Source organism: Homo sapiens, chromosome 17 (genome assembly GCF_000001405.40).
Source record: "Homo sapiens chromosome 17, GRCh38.p14 Primary Assembly".
Lineage (NCBI taxonomy): Eukaryota > Metazoa > Chordata > Mammalia > Primates > Hominidae > Homo > Homo sapiens.
Window position 1 is genome coordinate 64,229,028 of NC_000017.11, and position 19,124 is coordinate 64,248,151.

Below are 19,124 nucleotides of genomic sequence, written 5' to 3' on the forward strand. Positions count from 1 at the left end.
AAATTTGCAGGGTTTCCTGTTTTCACCATTAGAAACAACGCTGCCTTTAAAAGCTGTGTTTCCATATAAATCTTGTGCAAAAAGAAAGTCTATCTGTAGGATGTATTTCTAGAGTGGAGTTGCTGGGTCAAATGAGGTACATATTTAAAATTCTGAAACTGTTTGCCAATTTGTCCAATTTACTCTCCTAATTAACATTGTATAAAATGTCCACCTTCAACCCTGGTCAAGACTGAATATTATTTTAAATTTCTGCCCATTCAGTGGGCAGGGAAAAGGTATCTCAATGCTTTGATAGTCACTTCATACTTTTCCCTCATTTGCTTCTCTTCTTCTGTTAACTGGTCGTTCATATTTCTTGCCCAAGGACTTTTGTTATTCACTTCTTTATCAAGGATAGTTAATACTTTGTCTATTGTATGTGTTCCAAATATTTCCTTCCATCTCTGACTTGCCTTTTAATTGTATGGGTTTTTTTTTTAATATACAAAGTTTTACATTTTGAGATGTTGAAGCTCTCTATCTTTTTCTTTATGGCTTCTGGATTTTTTTACAGCTTCCTGATGAAGCCTTCCCATTCCATCAGCATAAAAACATTCGTCTTTGAAATCTTTTTAGAAAACGCTGACAATAGTGTATATAACACACATAACACACATATTGCTCTGTTTCCTATACAAGGATCTAAATTTTAACTTTGGAAAAACTGACTGATATGGACAATCATTTCTCTATTTTCTAGCTATAATAAACTGTAAAGCATTGAATTTATTCCCTTCAAATCATATTAGGAAATTAGACAACCTAGCTTACATCTAGGTTGATCACTGGCCATTCAGCTTCTCAATGTGAGGAACGTATTTCAGATTAATTCTTCAAAAACTGAAAAAACTCTTTAAGAACTCAAAAAAATTAGCCGTTTCCCCCAGTCAGAAACCCTCCTTTTCACACAGGCATCAGCAGACTTAACCTTGATATAGGGCAGTAAATTTGCTAAGTGTAATCTTACATCAGAATGTTATTTATAGGTAAGGCATCTGAGGGCCAAAGAAGATAAATTTTTTTAAACCAGGTTTAAGATGTGTGCATGCATGTGTGCACATGTGTATGTGCATGTATGTGTGCACACATGTGTGTGTAGGGGAAAGAGTGGGACTGAGGGAAATAGGAATTGATGGGAGGAATATGAGAAGGCATGGTGGAAGGTTTCCCAGGGGCCCCGTGTGAGCTGGCCCATGGGGACCTGACAAGGTGCCCCGCCAAGACAAAATGGAGAGTACATTTTAAGTGGAGGACAAAGCAGAAGAAAAGGAATAGAGGCAAGAAACCCAGAGCCATGTTCACAACTGGCAAGGTTAGGAGATACTGGTTCCTGGCACAGGCATGGTCCTGACCTGGCCGGCTGGCCACCTCATGGTTCCCTGAGGAGAACCACTTGCCTATAGGCCCTGAGGGGGAACATTCCCCACCCAACTCTACCTCTGTTGTGGATCATGCCAAGAAAGGATTGCCCACTGATGAGATGATTGGGATTCAGACAATTGTTCAGTTAGTAGTAAATCAGTCATTGAAAACACAGACCGAGTGAGGCCATGAGGCAGCAGAGGGAGGAGCTCCACGGAGGACCACAGCCCTCAAATGGCCCTCAAATGACAGTGACGGAGCTCCCCACTTCACCTCCCTGAGCCTGGGGTTCTGCTGTAAACTGAGGGAAGCTTCCTCCATTGTCTTCAAGGAATTTTCCAGAAGGCTCTAAATTCTAAGAGTCTATGACTCAATTTCCATGGAACAGAACATACTTAGAGTCCTACTTTTCTCTTTTGTAACAAGAGAAATTCTTGGCAACTGTTAAAGTCAAGGAAAGCAAACCAGAGTGCACATCAGCTGACTAATGTGCCTAAGGCAATTAAGTCAAAATATTTTTCAAATAGTACTGAAACAGCTCATCTCCCATTAACAAATACTTCTAGACTTTCCAGACTTGTCTTGCTCAGCCCAGCTGTAGAAACATCCCTTATGTGTGCTGGCCATTAGGTGGAGAGTTTCCAACCTATGAGAATGAGCTGCAGATCAGCCGCACCTGCATGTGCTCAGGCACCAGAGGACAGGCATCAACTTGGCCTCCTCAGCAGCCCCTATCTTTCCCCCACCTACTGCCAAACAGTACAGAAGGTGACTGTGAGGCTGCTCCTGCTCAGGCTGTGATGGGGTTGAACTTCATGGGGCTCTCTATCCCAGTGCTTCATTAGTTCTTACTCTGTACAAACATCACCCAAGCACCACTTCTCAGCCTCACTAAGAATCTTGAGTCTCCCACCAAGTACCATATATGTGCTTCAGGCAACCCTGTGTGGTCACTGTTGTGCCCATTCAAGTCTGAAAAACTCTGAGGCTGACTAAAGGACGGAACCAAAGGAGAGACTGAATGCAGGCTGGCCCTTCACACCACTCTGCTCTAGGAAAACTAACACAGCCTCATGTGGACAGGACCGTCTCTGGGGTTCCTGTTCGCCAGCAACATCCACTCTATCTTGTTTCAGTATTAAGCTTCTGTCACTTTAATGCATATTAATAGATGTGTTTGTCATTATTAAGGTGGAAGGTGGTTAGATTCTGAAGGGAGGTGAGAACTGAATAGGTCCTGGGGTGCAACACAATTGCACAGAAAACCTGGTTAAGAACTCAAACTCTGAAATTAAACAGACCCAGCTTTGGATTCCAGTTCCACCTCTTATCAGTGTGTCACCCTGGACAAGTTACGGCAAAAGGCCTCTTTTTCCTTACATATAATGCAGATAATAGTGCCTATCTCATAGGGGCTGCTGGGAGAATTAAGAAATAACACTTAACATATGTAAGCTACTATAATCAGCATCCACAGCAGGTGTGAGCACATCTTTTTATCCGTGCCGACTCAGCCTGTGGACTCACCGGCATGTTATCCGGGATCAGACAGCTTGTTTCCAGCCTTCTCTAATCACCAGCACTGGACTGTCCTGACTGTCTGACTTTAGGTTTAGTTCAGGCAGCTGTGACCATTAAGAATGACACAATGACAATGTAAAAATATGTACTGTACATATACATCGTAATACAAAATGAAAAGGCAGAATTTAGGATGATGTACATCACCTAGGTAAATGAACACAACAGGATCCTAGGAGGCTTATAGAGACTAAGTATTAATAGTTGGTGTTTCGTGGTGAAAGAGTTATTGGTGTTTGATTTCAGTGAAAAGCTGATGAAAAAGGATCTTTTTTAAATGAGAGCTGTGGATAAGATCTGTAGTTTCATCAACCTCTTTTTTTTCTGTCCCCTCCCCATGTTGGCCACATGTTTTTCAATATTCTTACATTGTTTACCAGTAAACTGATTAATTCTGTGTATTATTCTTCCATTTCAATACTGATCCAAATTTTAATCAACAATCCATATTTATAAGGGGTTCATAATGACATTATAAAAATCAAGTCACTGCCACAGGTGTGATAATAAGCATAGCTGAGCAAGCAAGAAACAATCAGTGGCTTCATTTCCATAGTCAAGGGCACTCACATTCAAGGTCAACCTCATTCTAAAGGTAGTGGGAAGTGAGACCTGGTACCAGCTCCAGTAACAATATCTACAGTTAGACCAATCCTGTGTCAGAAACTCCTATTATGTCATCCACAGCCAATCAGAACGTGGAGTCAGCATGAAACCTTCCATACAGGGTTGCAATTCCAAACAAAAGCAAGGAAACTTGATGGTTTGGGTAGCTTTTGTATGTTCATCCTGGGTAAAAGCATAGTTTCTGTTAAGCCTTTTCAAATGCTGAAAATGGTCCCTGGTTCCCATGGGTTCCTTTGCAGATGGCATGAGCCCAGGTCAGCTCCACCTAACAGACTGCTGGTGAGACAACTGATCATCCCTAATCATTACCTTCTTAATCACAGTTCTAAAAAGGCAGAGGCATTTGGGATTGAGGGAAGGGTTAGTGTACCAGAAAATCCTAGGCAACATCTTCAACACACAAATGACCCAGCTCACCCCTATCCATCTTGAGGCTTATCATGATTGTGGAGTTTCACAACTGATGGATTGGAAGACATTTTTTTAATTCCCCAGTCATCATAAGCCTATATGTGCACAACCACACACACAACTACCCCACCCCCAAACACACACACATACCCTGCCCCGGGGCCCACCCTGGAACTGAGATTCACTGGTGTAAAACAACTTGGACCATTAGGAATGCATTACACTTTAAAAACACACATGCGGCCTGGTGTGGTGGCTCGCGCCTGTAATCCCAGCACTTTGGGAGGCCAAGGTGGGTGGATCACGAGGTCAGGAGTTCAAGACCAGCCTGGCCAAGATGGTAAAACCCCATCTCTACTAAAAATACAAAAAATTAGCCAGGCGCGGTGGCAGGCGCCTGTAATCCCAGCTACTTGGGAGGCTGAGGCAGGAGAATCGCTTGAACTTGGAGGGTGGAGGTTGCAGTGAGCCAAGATCGCACCACTGCACTCCAGCCTGGGTGACAGAGTGAGACTCCATCTCAAAAAACAAACAAACAAACAAAAACACATGCATACCCAGAAAGAGACAATGGAATCACGAGGAATTCAGGTGGAGATATAGTACCAGTTATTCCCTGGCACCAATAACTAGTTAATATAGTCTACACCTACCTTGCAAGGCACCATGTTAGAGGCAAGTGCTTTCTAACAGGCTATTGCTGTGTAACTACATCAAAGAAGGGCAAGTCTCTATCAAGGTCAATGAACTCATTTAAAATATCTGAAGAATCAGAAATGGGCAGCTGCTTCCATAGACACAGGGCACAGTGAGACCATGTCCTGCTCCTGATCTTCACTACACATGCCTGTACTGTTTGCCCTTGAGTTGTGGCCTTACCTCCTGGGACGTGGTCCTAACCCCCCAACTCAGATCCTAGGTACAGAGCTGGCCCCCGCCAGGGCCTCCATGGACGCCCATTCCTGAAGGTCTGTTCCATTGCTGTCTAAAGGCCAAAAGCAGAGCAGAAGGCAGAAATAAGGGGTAAGGAAAAAAGGCAAGTGGAATAAAAAAGAAACGTGAATGCATAAAGGAACAAGAAAAAAGTGTTTCTCAGCAGATTGGGGAAAATAAGCACAAGGAGCATTTCATAACCAGAAATACAAGTACACAGCATGGAACCACACCGTCTAATCTAATTCTGGAGGTGCTATAAACCTGATGGCTGTATTGGGGCTCCATTTGACATTTCAAAGAAACAAACGCTGTAAAATTGTGATCTTGATGTTTTTCTGTTCACAGGTCCAATATCTGCCTAACAGCAGTATCCTGTCTTTCCAGATGATTAGCGTTGAGTTTGTTGTTGGGTTTTTTTCTTCCAGCTTATGTGAGTCCTCAGAGAGCACTGTCTGCCAAAGCAAAACGCCAAAACAGGAGCAGAACTTTCTGGCCATCCATGTGCAATTAGGAGCCCATTAAATACCACCCAGATAACTCAACACCCAAAATCATCCTCCATGGCGCAGCTGACAGCTGAGGCTAACTGGAAAAAACACCAGCTCAGGAGCAGCCTCACTGGGTCTGGATCTGTCGAATGAGGACCATGATGGTAAAACCCCACCCCTCAGCTTGTTGGGAGAAAGAATAAATGGGACGGCACTTCATACACTGTCAATTTAGGCAGTGACAGCACAGGAACATCATAATTAACCACACTGCTCTCTCCCCATGGATCTTTATGATGGAGTAAATGACACCAAGAAATATTACCACTTGTTCTCAAAATATCCTATTGATTTGGCAGTTACTCTATTTAAATACAAAGATACAATGGTTATTTATTTCTTCAGAAAATACAGGTATTTTTTTTTTCCTCCAAAAACATTATGATTGCCATTTTAATTTCTGTGGTTAAAGAACACCTTTAGGTACTGGGCAGCGCATGACCCAGTCCAGTAAAGTGGCAGGAATTCTTGGAAAAAAGGGCCATAGAGATCCAAGTCAAACGCAGTCCTGATCTGTGAAGATGTATCAGAGGGACCCTGAACCAACAAGAACAACAATCAACGTTTATGACTGCCAGCCCTCTAGCTAATCACTTTACCAACATTATAACACTATCTCATCTAAGCCTCACAATTCTGCCAGGTAGGTACTATCATCATTTCCACATTTAATACACGAGGAAAAAGAAAGTGGTTTAGGCAACTCACCAAGGTAACAAAGCTACTAACTAGCAGAGCTAGGACTCAGGTTCCAAGGCCATCCTCTTAACCACTGTGTGGCACTGCCTCATGCGGATGCTTCCGTTGACAAACCAATCTGGAGCCAACAGAAGCTTTCTGCAGGTGCTCTGTGCTCCAAGAAAGTGTTCCATCCACTCAGTACTTACTGAGCACATCACTGGAAAGACAAAGACTTTCACCCTATCTACCCAGGGGGAACATCAATTCTGGGGGACCTTGAGTGTAATGACAACTCAGGCAAGCACTGAAAGGTGCTTTTAAAAAGTCACAGTAATTCACAGACCAGGCTATAAAGCGCTTTTGTCTATTGTGATAGGCCCCTCAAAACTTGTTTGGGGTAAAAAGCTGCCTATTAGGGATATATGTTCCATACTGTGAAGACTTTCTTACAAAAAGTAAACCACAGTTTACAGCAAAAAGAAACCAGCAGGCCTAGGTCATCCCTGAGTATGACCCATCCTATTCTGCTCCTCTAATTCATTGCTATACATAAGTAAATGTTCTACTACAAGTACTAAAATCATAAAAACTCCCAAATTCTGCACATCCCTTTTTGAGTGCTATGGGAATATATTTCCATCTTTAGGGAAGTTGGTTACATTAGCCTAGGACTTTACCGAGACACAAACAAGCTATATCAGATGAGCTTTCCTATGAAATTCCACCTGTAGCAAATGTTCATCCATATTACTGTTACCTGGTGACTTTGTTGATGACTCTGTCTTCCCCTTTACACTGGCCACCTTGGGCACCTGCAACACAGATTTTTCCCTATGTAAACTCCTCCTTGAAATAGCAATCTAAATAGCTTAAGGTACAGCCGGCTCTCCATACCCACAGGTTCCACATCCGCAGATTCAACCAACTACAGATCGAAAATATTCGGGGAAAAAAAAATACAACTAAAAAAAAATAAAAATTTTAAAAACAATACACAATATAACAGCTATTTACATAGTATTCACATCTTATTAGATATTACAGGTAATCTAGAGATTATTTAAAGTATATATGAGGGCTGGGCCCAGTGTAATCCCAGCACTTTGGGAGGCTAAGGCAGGAGGATCGCTTGAGCCCCAGGAATTTGAGACCAGCCTGAGCAACACGGTGAGACCCCGTCTCTACAAAAAGTTTTAAAAATTAGCTGGGTGTGATGGCTCACGCCTGTAGTCCCAGCTACCTGGAGGCTGAGTGGGGAGGATCACCTGAGCCCAGGTTGACACTGCACTCCAGCCTGAGCGACAGAGTAAGACCCTGTCTCAAAAAATTAATTAATTTAAAAATAAAGTATATGGGAGGATGTGCATAAGTTATATGCAAATATAACACCACTTTATACAAGCGACTTGAGCATTCTCTGATTTTGGTATCTATCAGGGATCCTAGAACTAATCTCCTATGGATACCGAGGGATGATTACACTACAATACAGGAATTAATTTAAGAATAACACCTAGTTAAAGATAAACTCTTATTTTTCCCTCAATTTATTATGCACACAAACATTTGGAGTTAGCTATAGATCTATGGCTCTCTTAATTTCACAATTTATTCACTGTTAAATGTCTGTTTGCATAAACATTTTAATGTAAGCCAAATCTTGACAGTTGGACACGTGGAATTTGAGCTCTGAGAGTGAAGGCAATGATTGAATATTCCGGACTTACTTGTTTCCTGTCTTATAATTTGCAAAGTGGTGCAGTACTCAGATTGACCTCAGGGAGCTTAGAGAGGGGTGAGGAGCGAGACAATCACATAATCAATGCAAGAACTAGGAAGTGATGTGAAGGGCACCAAGAGATCACAGTCAGCAGGGAAACCTGATCCGTTTTGAATATTAATCACAGAAGGGCCCCCTGAACAAGTGGGCATTGGGCTGACATCTCCAGGATGAGTCGAGCTGGCTAAGTGATGGCAGCGTGGGCATTCCAGAAACAAGAAGGGTAAGAGTAAGGGCCTGAGGCAGGCGCAGAGCCTCATGGGGGAATCTGAAGCAGCTTCTCGGGGGTGAGTATTATACACACAGTATGAGACAGGAGTGCGGCAGGGGCTGGGTCATGCAGTGCCTTGAAGGCCACATTGAGGATCTAGTTTTTTTCCTAAGGGAAAGGAGGAACAAGTGAAGGCTTATTGTATGTGGTCTGGAGACAGGTATGCAGGTGACCAGATGCGTATTTTGAAAAGCTTTTTCTGGCTGTAGTGTGGAAAATAAACTGGAAAGAGGCAAGAAAGGGTTCAGGAAGGTCAGTTAGACAATAACAACATTTTAAGTGAGAGACAATGGCAGCCCGGACTAGCGGGGTGGCTGTGGAGATGGGTGAAGGGATTTGAGATTAGGAGATGAAATGCATGGAACTTGATGGGTTGCATATGGGAGTAAGGAAGAAGGTGTTCTTAAGCCCTAGGTTTTGGGCTACAAGACTGCAAGGACAGGCTCCCATTCACCAAGTCTGGGAATTTGAGAAGGGCTGGGTTTCTGGGAACATGGTAGGTTCAGTTTGGGACATTTTATTCTGAGATACTTGGTGACCTCCCAGTGTGAGTATCAGAAAGGTGTTTAAAGTTCTGGTTCAGTAACTGATACTATTACATGTCCACCCAGATAGGAGACTAACAGTTCCTTACAAATAACCTACAACCAGCAGAAAAATAACCTGTTGAATGACGAAGTATTTTCATCACTGTTAAAAGTCACGAACTTCTAACAAAACTGCACAAGCAACATCTATAATAAAAACAATTTCAGCCAGGCGCGGTGGTTCATGCCTGTAATCCTGAGACTTTGGGAGGCCGAGGTGGGAGAATCACGATGTCAGGAGTTCGAGACCAGCCTGGCCAACATGGTGAAACCCCGTCTCTACTAAAAACACAAAAATTAGCTGGGCATGGTGGTGGGCGCCTATAATCCCAGCTACTCAGGAAGCTGAGGCAAGAGAATCGCTTGACCCTGGAGGTGGAGGTTGCAGTGAGCCGAGATTGTGCCATTGCACTCCAGCCTGGGCGACACTGTGAGACTCTGTCTCAAAATAAATAAATAAATAAAACTAAAATAAGACCATTTCAAAACTGTCTGTGTAAGTTCAATTTTTTAAAATATATCTTTCAAGAGAAAGTTAATTCCATCTACTATTCAAGATAAAAATTATTTAAATTTTGGCATTCTAATTTAAACCAATGTATTAGTCTGTTCTCATGCTGCTTTGAAGGAATACCCAAGACTTGGTAATTTATAAAGAAAAGAGGTTTAATTGACTCACAGTTTCACATGGCCGGGAGGCCTCGGGAAACTTACAATCACGGCAGGAGACACCTCTTCACAGGGTAACAGGAGAGAGAATGAGTGCCAAGCGAAGGGGGAAGCCCCTTATAAAACCATCAGCTCTTGTGAGAACTCACTCACTATCACAAGAACAGCATGAGGGTAACCACCCCCATGGTTCAATTACCTCCCACCAGGTCCCTCCCATGACATGTGGGGATTATGGGAACTACAATTCAAGATGAGATATGGGTGGGGACACAGCCAAACCATATCAACCAGGCAGCAAACAAGAAACTTCAAAATGGAGAAAGAAAAATAACTGTTCCTTAAAATGAGCAAAGCAGGGTCTTTGCATCACCTAAAAAGCTCACTGATAAGCACCAATTCACTAAAAGGTTTGAGATAACTGTAAAAAAAAGGAATTAGCTTTTATTGAAGATTTATGTCCCAGACACTTCAAGACACCCCTCATTTAATCTTCATGGCCCTATGAGGCAAGAATTATGCTTCCATTTTCTGAATAAGGAAACTGAGTCAGAGAAATTGAATAATTTGCCATGGCATAACTACTAATAAGGGCTGAAACAGAAATCAAACATGTCTAGACAACTCCTTTTACCAATGCCCAAGACAGGAAAGGGACGAAGCTGCCATTTCCTTGGTGCCAGTCTTCTGCCTTGGAGGTCAAATAATGGGATGTTTATTTCCAAGTTTTTTCTGTTATTACCTGCAATTAAGCAGTTATGTTCTTAGTCTTGAAATAACCTTAATTTTTAAAGAGCTGTCTTTGTCAATTCAATCCTCTCTGCTTCATCTTCTTAAAAGAGTTTTACCTAGACATATAATCATACCCCAAAGAGCTTTGTAAATTTAGTTATAACTGTTCGCAGAATTTAGATCAAAATGTAAACTGAAACCTGGAAAATACAAATGTTTGTTTTCTGTCAAATGCTTACTGCATGTTTCCAACCCAAATCCACTAAAACGATGAATAAACTAAGCTTAACTTACAAAAAAATTTTCAAAAGCAACTTATTTTCTTAAGGAAATAATGCTGGCCAGGCATGGCGGCTCACACCTGTAATCCCAGCACTTTGGGAGGCAGAGACAGGCAGATCACCTGAGGTCAGGAGTTCGAGACGAGGCTGGCCAATATGGTGAAACCCCGTCTCTACTAAAAATACAAAAATTAGCCAGGTGTGGTGGCAGGCACCTGTAATCCCTGCTACTCGAGAGGCTGAGGCAGAAGAATTGCTTGAACTTGGGAGGCAGAGGTTGCAGTGAGCCAAGATCATGCCACTGCACTCCAGCCTGGACAACAGAGTGAGACTCTGTCTCAAAAAAAAAAAAAAAAAAAAAAAAAAAAAGCAGAGAAGATAAGAGAAGAGAAATAATGTTATCTGGTAAGTTCCTTACCAGGCCACAAAAGGTTAACAACTTGAATTGTTAAATAAGGACTCTAGGTGTGCTAACAGGAAATATTACAAGTCCTTACAGATGGTAAGTATATGCACTGCCTAGAAATGCATAAATGAAATCATGATAAATGAGGGGGAAAATACAAACTAGTAAGTACACTGATTATACAATGTTTAAAAATGTAAATGAATGCCTGCTATGGTAGGGTCATATGAAGCTTAACTTTCCTCTATGATCTTTATATATACAGATGTATATAAGTATGTGTATATGCAGATGTGTGTGTGTGTGTGTGTGTGTGTGTGTGTAAAGCTCTTTGTTAATAAATGTTTAAAAGCCTATTCATCCTCCAGGAACCTAAGATAACAGCACTTGTCACTGCCCACCCACGGGCCAGCCCACGACACCCTGTCCTGGCTCAGACACTGGGCAAGGTGACTGAGGGGACACTGAAGAGGAAGAGGGTGGAGGTGGAGTTACGAAGAGGAGGGAGCAAGCAGGGCTGTCCTCAGGCAGGTCAGACAGGCGCCTGGTGCAGTAGAAAGAGTATATGCTTCCAACTCAGACTGACCCCTCTGAGCAGTCAAACTCTAGCTCTGCCCCTCACCAGCTGTGTGACCTCAGGCAAGTGACAGAAACTTTCTGAGCTTCAAAATGAGAAAAATAAAGTCTACCTCCTAGCATTTGCATGGGGAATGAAAGGAATTCTACAAAATTCCTGGCATAAGTGTCTGTCTCCTTGGATGGCTAGTCCCTCTTCTTCCTTGATCGGTTTAGAGTCAGTTGCCTGGTCGATGAAGGGGAAAGCAAGGCAAGAGTAACAATAGGGTATTGTGGGGATTAAAGGAAGATGTATGGCAATGGATCTGTCAACTGCAGCCCTGTACAAACACTGATTATTAATGTACTCTGGGACTCTGGAGTAATAGGAATAACTTCAGGGCTGAGCAGGTCACATGTGAAAAAATTTTTAAACAGCAGCAGCATCATTGGCAGTATTATACTGCTGCTTAAAAGACTTAGAATTTTGTGACTCAGTGCTTAAAATGACATTCAGAAGAAAAATAGCCTCAGGCCAACAGCCGCAATCCTTCACCCTGTGCCCAGGCTCCTGTGTCTGGGATTCAGGGCCATGCTGAAGCCAGCTGGCCTCCAGATGCAGTGACAAATCCAGGGAAAGCATTTGGGGTTGTCAGAGCTCATGGAGTGACTGCTGAGGGGTCGGTTCATGCGTCTGGAAGACAGTTGGGAACTACTGTCTAATGTCTGGCAGCTAGGTTCAGTGCTGAGCTCAGAAGCCGACCAGTGAGCAGGAAGATGCTCAGTTCTGCTTTGAACTGCGGCCAAGAGGCCAAGCGGTAATTTCATCTCTCCTCCAGTTCTTGCCGCAGGAAAACTGACAATAAGGAAAAAACAGATATGGCTGGGTCTCTCTCTCAAAAGGACACTGACACCAAAGTCCTAACTCCTCAAGAGGTCCTTCAAACAAATCTATCAAAATCTGTGAAAAGAAGCCTCACTGAATTCCAAGATCCCAAAGATAATTGTTACTCCTAAAATTTGTTGTAGTAAAAATAACAGCGGGTCTCAGCTCAAGTGTCACATTCTCAGAAAGACCTTCCTGACTACCTCATCCTAAAAGTGGGGCCTCCTCATCCCTTATTATCTTTCTAAAATTATTATTATTTTTTTTTAAAGGCAGGATCTCACTCTATCACCCAGGCTGGAGTGCACTCGTGCGATCATAGCTCACTGCAGCCTCGAACTCCTGGGCTCAAGCAATCCTCCTACTCAGCCTTCTGAGTAGCTAGGACTACAGGCACATGCCAGTACACCCAGCTAGTTTTTCAATGTTTTAAATAGAGACAGGGTCTCACTGTTGCCCAAACTGGTCTCAAACTCCTCGGCTCATGTAATCTTCCTGCCTCAGCCTCCCAAAGAGCTGGGATTACAGGAGTAAGCCACTGCACCTGGCTCTCTCTTTATTTTTGAGAACGGTACTGTCTGACATTGCCTACCTGTTACTTTTTGCCCCACAAGAAAAATATGCTGTATGTGGCAGAAAGTTAGGTTTATTCACTGCTGTATCCCAATGCTGGCACTGAAATATTTATTAGTTTAATGAATGAATGAAGGAACACTGCACATAATACCTAAGTAACCTATTTATGTCCTTTTTAGAAAATTCCATATAGTTCAGAAGAGGAATGTTTATAGTTGAGTATATTTTACAAGTTGAGCATCAGGTTTTAGCTTCCATAATGTAACATTACAGCACTGTTGCTATAAGAAAGTGAAATCTACCTTAAAACTCAGATGTCACTATTCAATGGTATCCTTTCCAGGAACAAAAGCCTTCCTGAGGACTATAACATGGTAATTCTCTCCTCCACGGAACCACTTTGTATAAGGTTGTTTCTGCTGGGAAAATACATTTCTTTTAGGACATGGAAAATCTAATCCAGTTGCTGTAACAAAGAAAAGGATCCTTCCAGAAAAGGGAGGAATTACTACTTCTGGGTGGTGGAAACTTGTCATATCTTGATCATACAAATAAAGGCTCCTCTGCAGGATGTGATCTACCAGGGGTTTGGAAGTAGAAATCAAAGGGCTGTTGCCACCAAGAGGACTGCAGTTTCAGACCTGTGGTGCCAGGGCCTGCCTCTGAACCAGAATCATCCTCCTCCCAGCCTGTGAGAAAGTACAGCAAAGGACTTAAAAGCAGGACACAAATCCAACATATGCAGTTTTCATAACGTACTTTGTTAAAAACATGTATTCTCAAATTGTGTTACACATAATACAGGCACGCAATGCCTCCTTCATAACTAATGTAAAAAACAATTTGGCCAGGTGCAGGGGCTCATACCTATGATCCCAACACGTTTGGAAGCCAAGGTGGGAGGATCACTTGCGGCCAGAGTTTGAGACTAGCCTGGGCAACATAACGAGATCCCATCTCTAAAAAAAAAAAATTTTTTTTTTTTTTTGAGATGGAGTCTTGCTCTGTCACCCAGGCTGGAGTGCAGTGGCACGATCTCAGCTGACTGCAACCTCTGCCCTCCAGGTTCAAGCGATTCTTCTGCCTCCGCCTCCCGAGTAGCTGGGACTACAGGCGCACACCACCACACCCGGCTAATTTTTGTATTTTTAGTAGAGACGGGATTTCACCATATTGGCCAGGCTGGTCTCGAACTGCTGACCTCGTGATCCGCCTGCCTCGGCCTCTCAAAGTGCTGGGATTACAGGCGTGAGCCACCACACCCGGCCAAAAATTTTTTTAAAGATAAAGCAATTTCTCTAAAAAATTAATTTCAGGCCATAAAAACCCACAAGGTCAAAGGTTAAACCCATCTTTTGACTCTCAGGGGAAAAAAGCATATGAATAACCAGGAAAATGAATACAGAGTTGGTACAGCTTTTTCAATAATAAAAATAATAAAACTGTTATTAGACAAAAATGTCTTCTTCAAAAAGACCCTTGGGGGAAACACTGGGCCTCAGCTCCTGATGTGAGTGGGGAGGTGCATCTTTTGGAAGCACTACTGTCAGGCTGTACAAGTCTCAAAATGAGGCCTGGCTGGCAGGTTCCAGCTCTGCTAATCTTACTGAGGAACAACCAACAAGGGACATTCCCAGCTGAACGCTTTAACACTCAAGGGAAAATGGTGTCTGTAACAGCAGCAAACTTTCTCTTCAAAACTTTGCATCTTATTTTAAATGAAGGGTTCTTAACACACACATGCATGCAAGTTTTGGTCTGTGTGTACATGTGCGGATTTCTGCGGAGAGAGTTCATAGTGTTCAGAGTCCTAAATGGTGACTATGTCCCAAAAGAAGTTAAAACACCACTTTTTTTTTTTTTTTTTTGAGATGGAGTCTCACTCTGCTGCCCAGGTTGGAGTGCAGTGGTGGGATCTCGGCTCACTACAACCTCCACCTCCCGGGTTCAAGCGATTCTCCTGCCTCAGCCTCCCAAGTAGCTGGGACTACAGGCATGCACCACCATGCTCAGCTAACTTTTGTATTTTCAGTAGAGACGGGGTTTCACTATGTTGGCCAGGTTGGTCTCGAACTCCTGACCTCGTGATCCGCCCGCCTCGGTTTCCCAAAGTGCTGGGATTACAAGTGTGAACCACCGCGCCCAGCCAAAACACTACTCTTTTAAAGGGTGGCAGAACTTTAGCCTTTGGATTATTTTGGGAAACCAAAGTTTTTCTGAGCTGCCTCTAAAGATTTCTGTCAAGCTGGGAGCCACTTGGGGTCAAAAACCTTTTCCCAAGAAAAATCCTAGGAAGCCTGAGAACTAACACACAATCCTGATGTGGGTGTGGGCCTCTCGTATCTTTGGAATGCCTAACCCGCTGGACCTCACCGCTCAAACAGCCCCTGACGTCTAGACAGCAGGTCAGGAAGGTCTTCACTTAGGGTTTGGATTCTTGAATTTGCCTCGCACTCATGGATGTTGACATTGTCCAGAGCAGGCTTTGACATTTCATAAGTTACTATTTTTTCTCAGAAATGCATTATTTTCTCCAGCTTCCCAAGAAAGATCAAAATTAATGCTGAGTCTTTGATGCTTCAGTACATCACTCCAAATGCAGGGTACATCTCCACAGAAACTTTCCTCCCAGGCAAGCTTTTTTCTTCAACTAGGCATTTCTACATCAAAATGTAACCCTTTAGTCACTGTTCCCACTGTCCCCTGCCCCCTCAACAAACTGTATCGCAGCTATTTAAACATTTTTCAACATCCTGTAAGAATAACACGTACATTTCCCCCTCCTGTTTAAAAAAATTATTTTTTTCTCTTTGTTTTGACAAAATCCTGTTCTCTAGTTGCTTTTTCAAATATGGAAATTTAAGCATGATACAAATTACATGAACTCTCTACTCCCCCCAACCCTGGCTGCTGGACCTGTTGTGATCACATATCTGTTTCTACAAGCCACAGAAGAAAGTGACCTTGTTACTCTGAAAATCTCACTTTCATTCCAACTCTACCCCATTACCAATATTCTTTCATACATATGGCAATTTTGGGCCTTTCTTCAAAAATGTGACCAAAGGTACAATAAAATGAAAGGCTGAAAAATGACTGCTTTCTGCTTGCTCTCCTGAACTACAATCTTCTTCCATCATTTTTTTTCTAAACCAAAAGGTACCAGTCTATTTGGAAAATAATCAGTTTTATAAAAGGTACCCTTACACTATTATTTTTACAATGACTACATGTATGGCAGGAGAAATTACAATCTGCTGAGAAAATTGCAAAATAATTTCTAACTCTATTTGCTATAATTTGACAATTCTATCTTAAGAGTCTAGAAAATATACCATTGTGAAATGTCTCAAACCCATTATCCTAATTGAAATCTATTTAAATGGAATAGTTCCTTTGCAAGTCACATAAAAGCACATACAGAGCAGAGATCCTTCCTATTAAATCTAGAAATGCTATGCCTATAAAGTACATGACATCTAAGCAGTAAAGATTTTAGCCTCAAAATTCCTTAACCATTTGTCATCGTGTATGTGAACGCTCATCTAGAGACCTTCACCTGCTGCCATAGATACAAAATCGAGGATTGAACAATGCCCTTAAAAAGTAATAATAATAAAGTCAAGAAAAGCAGACATATTATGGTCATCTAGCTAGATTTCACTGCCCAGTTTTTATTCTCCACGTTTGTTTTCTTTTTAATACGATGAACCTTTTTCACTTTTCTGATCCTAAACCTTTGACTTTGGAATATACTGCATATTTTGGTGGTGTTCCATTAAAATGGGTCTGTGTCATAGGGATACGAACCAACTGGACAAGACGGAAGGGAGCCCCCAGCACAACAGAGAGCAAAGGAAAGCCCGCAGACAGCTGAGAGCTAAAGCCATTACTGCCTCTGTATTTAAAATCCACAGTGCTGACTCTTCATTAATTTTAGATGAAATTCCACAGTAGGTTTTCTGTAATTACCAACAGCTTGCATTACTTGCTCATGAGATGGCTCTATCAATAAAGAGATCCGGTTTCTTAAGCAGAGTCTCCCAGATCATACGCCCACCTTCATGTGAGGACGTGTGCTGCCAATGGTCTAAGAAGTCCTCAGAAGCAATATGGAAAGGAGACCTTTCTCCAACACCCTTTAAGAGCCAGATCCCTGACCTCCTCCTGAGCACTAGAGGCTGAAATTCAGAAAGGAAGAAGCTTAAATGGCCAAAGGCAGAAGATGACCATTCTTGACTCTAAATTTCTGCTAACAGGGATCTGCTGCAATCATGCATATTTGTCACCAGTGTTGTCCTTTTTTTGACAGAGTCTCGCTCTGTTGCCCAGGCTGGAGTGCAGTGGCATGATCTCAGCTCACTGCAACCTCTGCCTCCCAGGTTCCAGCAATTCTCCTGCCTCAGCCTCCTGAGTAGCTGTTATTACAGGTGTGCGCCACCACAGCTGGCTAATTTTTGCATTTTTTAGTAGAGACGGGGTTTCACCATATTGGCCAGTCTGGTATCAAACTCATGACCTCGTGATCTGCCCACCTTGGCCTCCCAAAGTGCTGGGATTACAGGCGTGACCCACCACGTCCAGCCTACCAGCATTGTCTTAAATATTGGGCTGCCCCCTAGAAGAATGGTCTTTCTGAAAGCAGCAACTTCTGTCTTTAAAAAAAGGTATATAAAACAATCATACTTTCATGAGCAGAGCCCACCATCACAGGACACACATGATGTTCATGAGGAAAGGAAGGAGTCAGTAACAGGCAACAGCAGATGTGTGTTCTAGAACAGCTGGAGGCTGCACGAGGAGAAGGCTGGACTTCTGGGCTAAAAGGGGTAAGCTGAGGCCCTAAGGCCTTCCAAGGAAGGGCAGGATCCACCTTCCAGAGTCACAGAGCTGGGAGGACCAGCCTCCTGGTGCTGTGTCTACGTGAGGGACCCCCTTTTCTTGCTGCAGATAAGAATCACCAGACCTAACAGAAAAGCCAATGACGGGGAACAGATTATTCAGGATACAGAAAAATAAAGAAGGCGGCAGCTGGGCGTGGTGGCTCATGCCTGTAATTCTGTAATCCCAGCACTTTGGGAGGCTGAGGTGGGCAGATCACCTGAGGTCAGGAGTTCGTGACCAGCCTGACCAACATGGTGAAACCCCATCTCTACTAAAATTACAAAAATTAGCTGGGCGTGGTGGCAGGTGCCAGCTACTTGGGAGGCTGAGGCAGGATAATCGCTTAAACCCAGGAGGTGGAGGTTGCAGTGAGCTGAGATCAGGCCATTGTACTCTAGCCTGGGTGACAGAGTGAGACTCTGTCTCAAAAAAAAAAAAGAAAAAGAAAAGAAAAGAAAGAAAGAAGAAGGCAGAGGAGGAAGAAGAGGAATAAAAGAGGCAAACCCAAGAAAAATAAAAAGATGCCCTGTGAAAATTCAGTAGGGTTCTGGTCAAAACAAATGGACTAAGAAAACTGAAGGAGAAAATATCCTGGCACAGGACACCTGGCTAGGATGACGTGTATCTCCAATTCTCTCCCTCAAAGGTCTTCTAGGATTTGAGGGGAGTGGGGCTAGCAGTGAGGAAAGAGAATGTCAGGGCTCCAGAGATGATCTGGTTTGAGCAGTGAGGAGGCGGCCAGGCTTGCGCACGGATGCCCCGCGCGGGGAGCCTGCAGTTCGCTCACCGGTGTTGTCTGTGCTCCAGGTTCTTCTACCGTGAATTGGTCTCTCCATTCTAAAAAGCTGGCTTTAGAGCTTTTTAGATGAGAGGTATGAGAGATTTAGACCTGAAGTTCCTCTTTAACCTTTCTCAGTTGCGGGCTTTTTGAAAGCCTGATGAACATCAAAGATCTCTCCCCACCACACAAATATACATACACAAATATCCTCAAGATTTTGCACTTGATTTTCAAGGAGACACAGATATTTCTCTTCCCCCTCCCCAAGATTAAAAAACCCAGATGTACAGAATTCATTACACTCTTTTGAATAGGAGGAGTAGGGTTTTAATCCACATTCCTTTGGATGGTGAGTGCATGGTCCTAGGGCATTTGGGCAAGACAGAGACAGCATGTGAAATCTCACTCCAGGAAGAAGACAGCCTTCTGGTGCCTCCCAAAGCTTTGCCAGCAATTTTACTCCTGGAACCAAGACTGTAGTGGGAAAACGGCTGGTTACTTTCTAGACAATAAATAACCAATCTATTG

The 19,124-nt window shown here is 43.0% G+C and overlaps 1 protein-coding gene across 14 annotated transcripts in view, besides 1 other annotated feature; it reads right to left on the reverse strand.

Moving 5' to 3' along the window:
• TEX2 (testis expressed 2) overlaps nt 1–19,124 on the reverse strand; it is a 116,034-nt gene that overhangs the window by 81,801 nt on the left and 15,109 nt on the right. For 2 of the 14 annotated variants that reach the window (NM_001288733.2, XM_011524998.2), the window contains exon 1: nt 1,582–1,707. The exons of 10 other annotated variants lie outside the window; for them this stretch is intronic. The gene's annotated coding sequence lies outside the window, so the exon portion shown is untranslated. Of the gene's footprint in view, nt 1–1,479; nt 1,503–1,581; nt 1,708–13,233; nt 13,346–19,124 lie in introns of those variants that run through there. 2 more of the 14 variants (XM_047436396.1, XM_047436392.1) reach the window with 2 other exon arrangements.
• Nucleotides 11,218–11,427: a silencer, noted in NCBI's record as "fragment chr17:62317605-62317814 (GRCh37/hg19 assembly coordinates)". NCBI's record gives its function as "represses an EF-1alpha promoter that drives an FKBP-Casp9 reporter gene in an ReSE screen in phorbol 12-myristate 13-acetate-treated (for megakaryocytic differentiation) K562 erythroleukemia cells {active_cell/tissue: K562(+PMA)}" and the evidence as "EXISTENCE:reporter gene assay evidence [ECO:0000049][PMID:32094911]".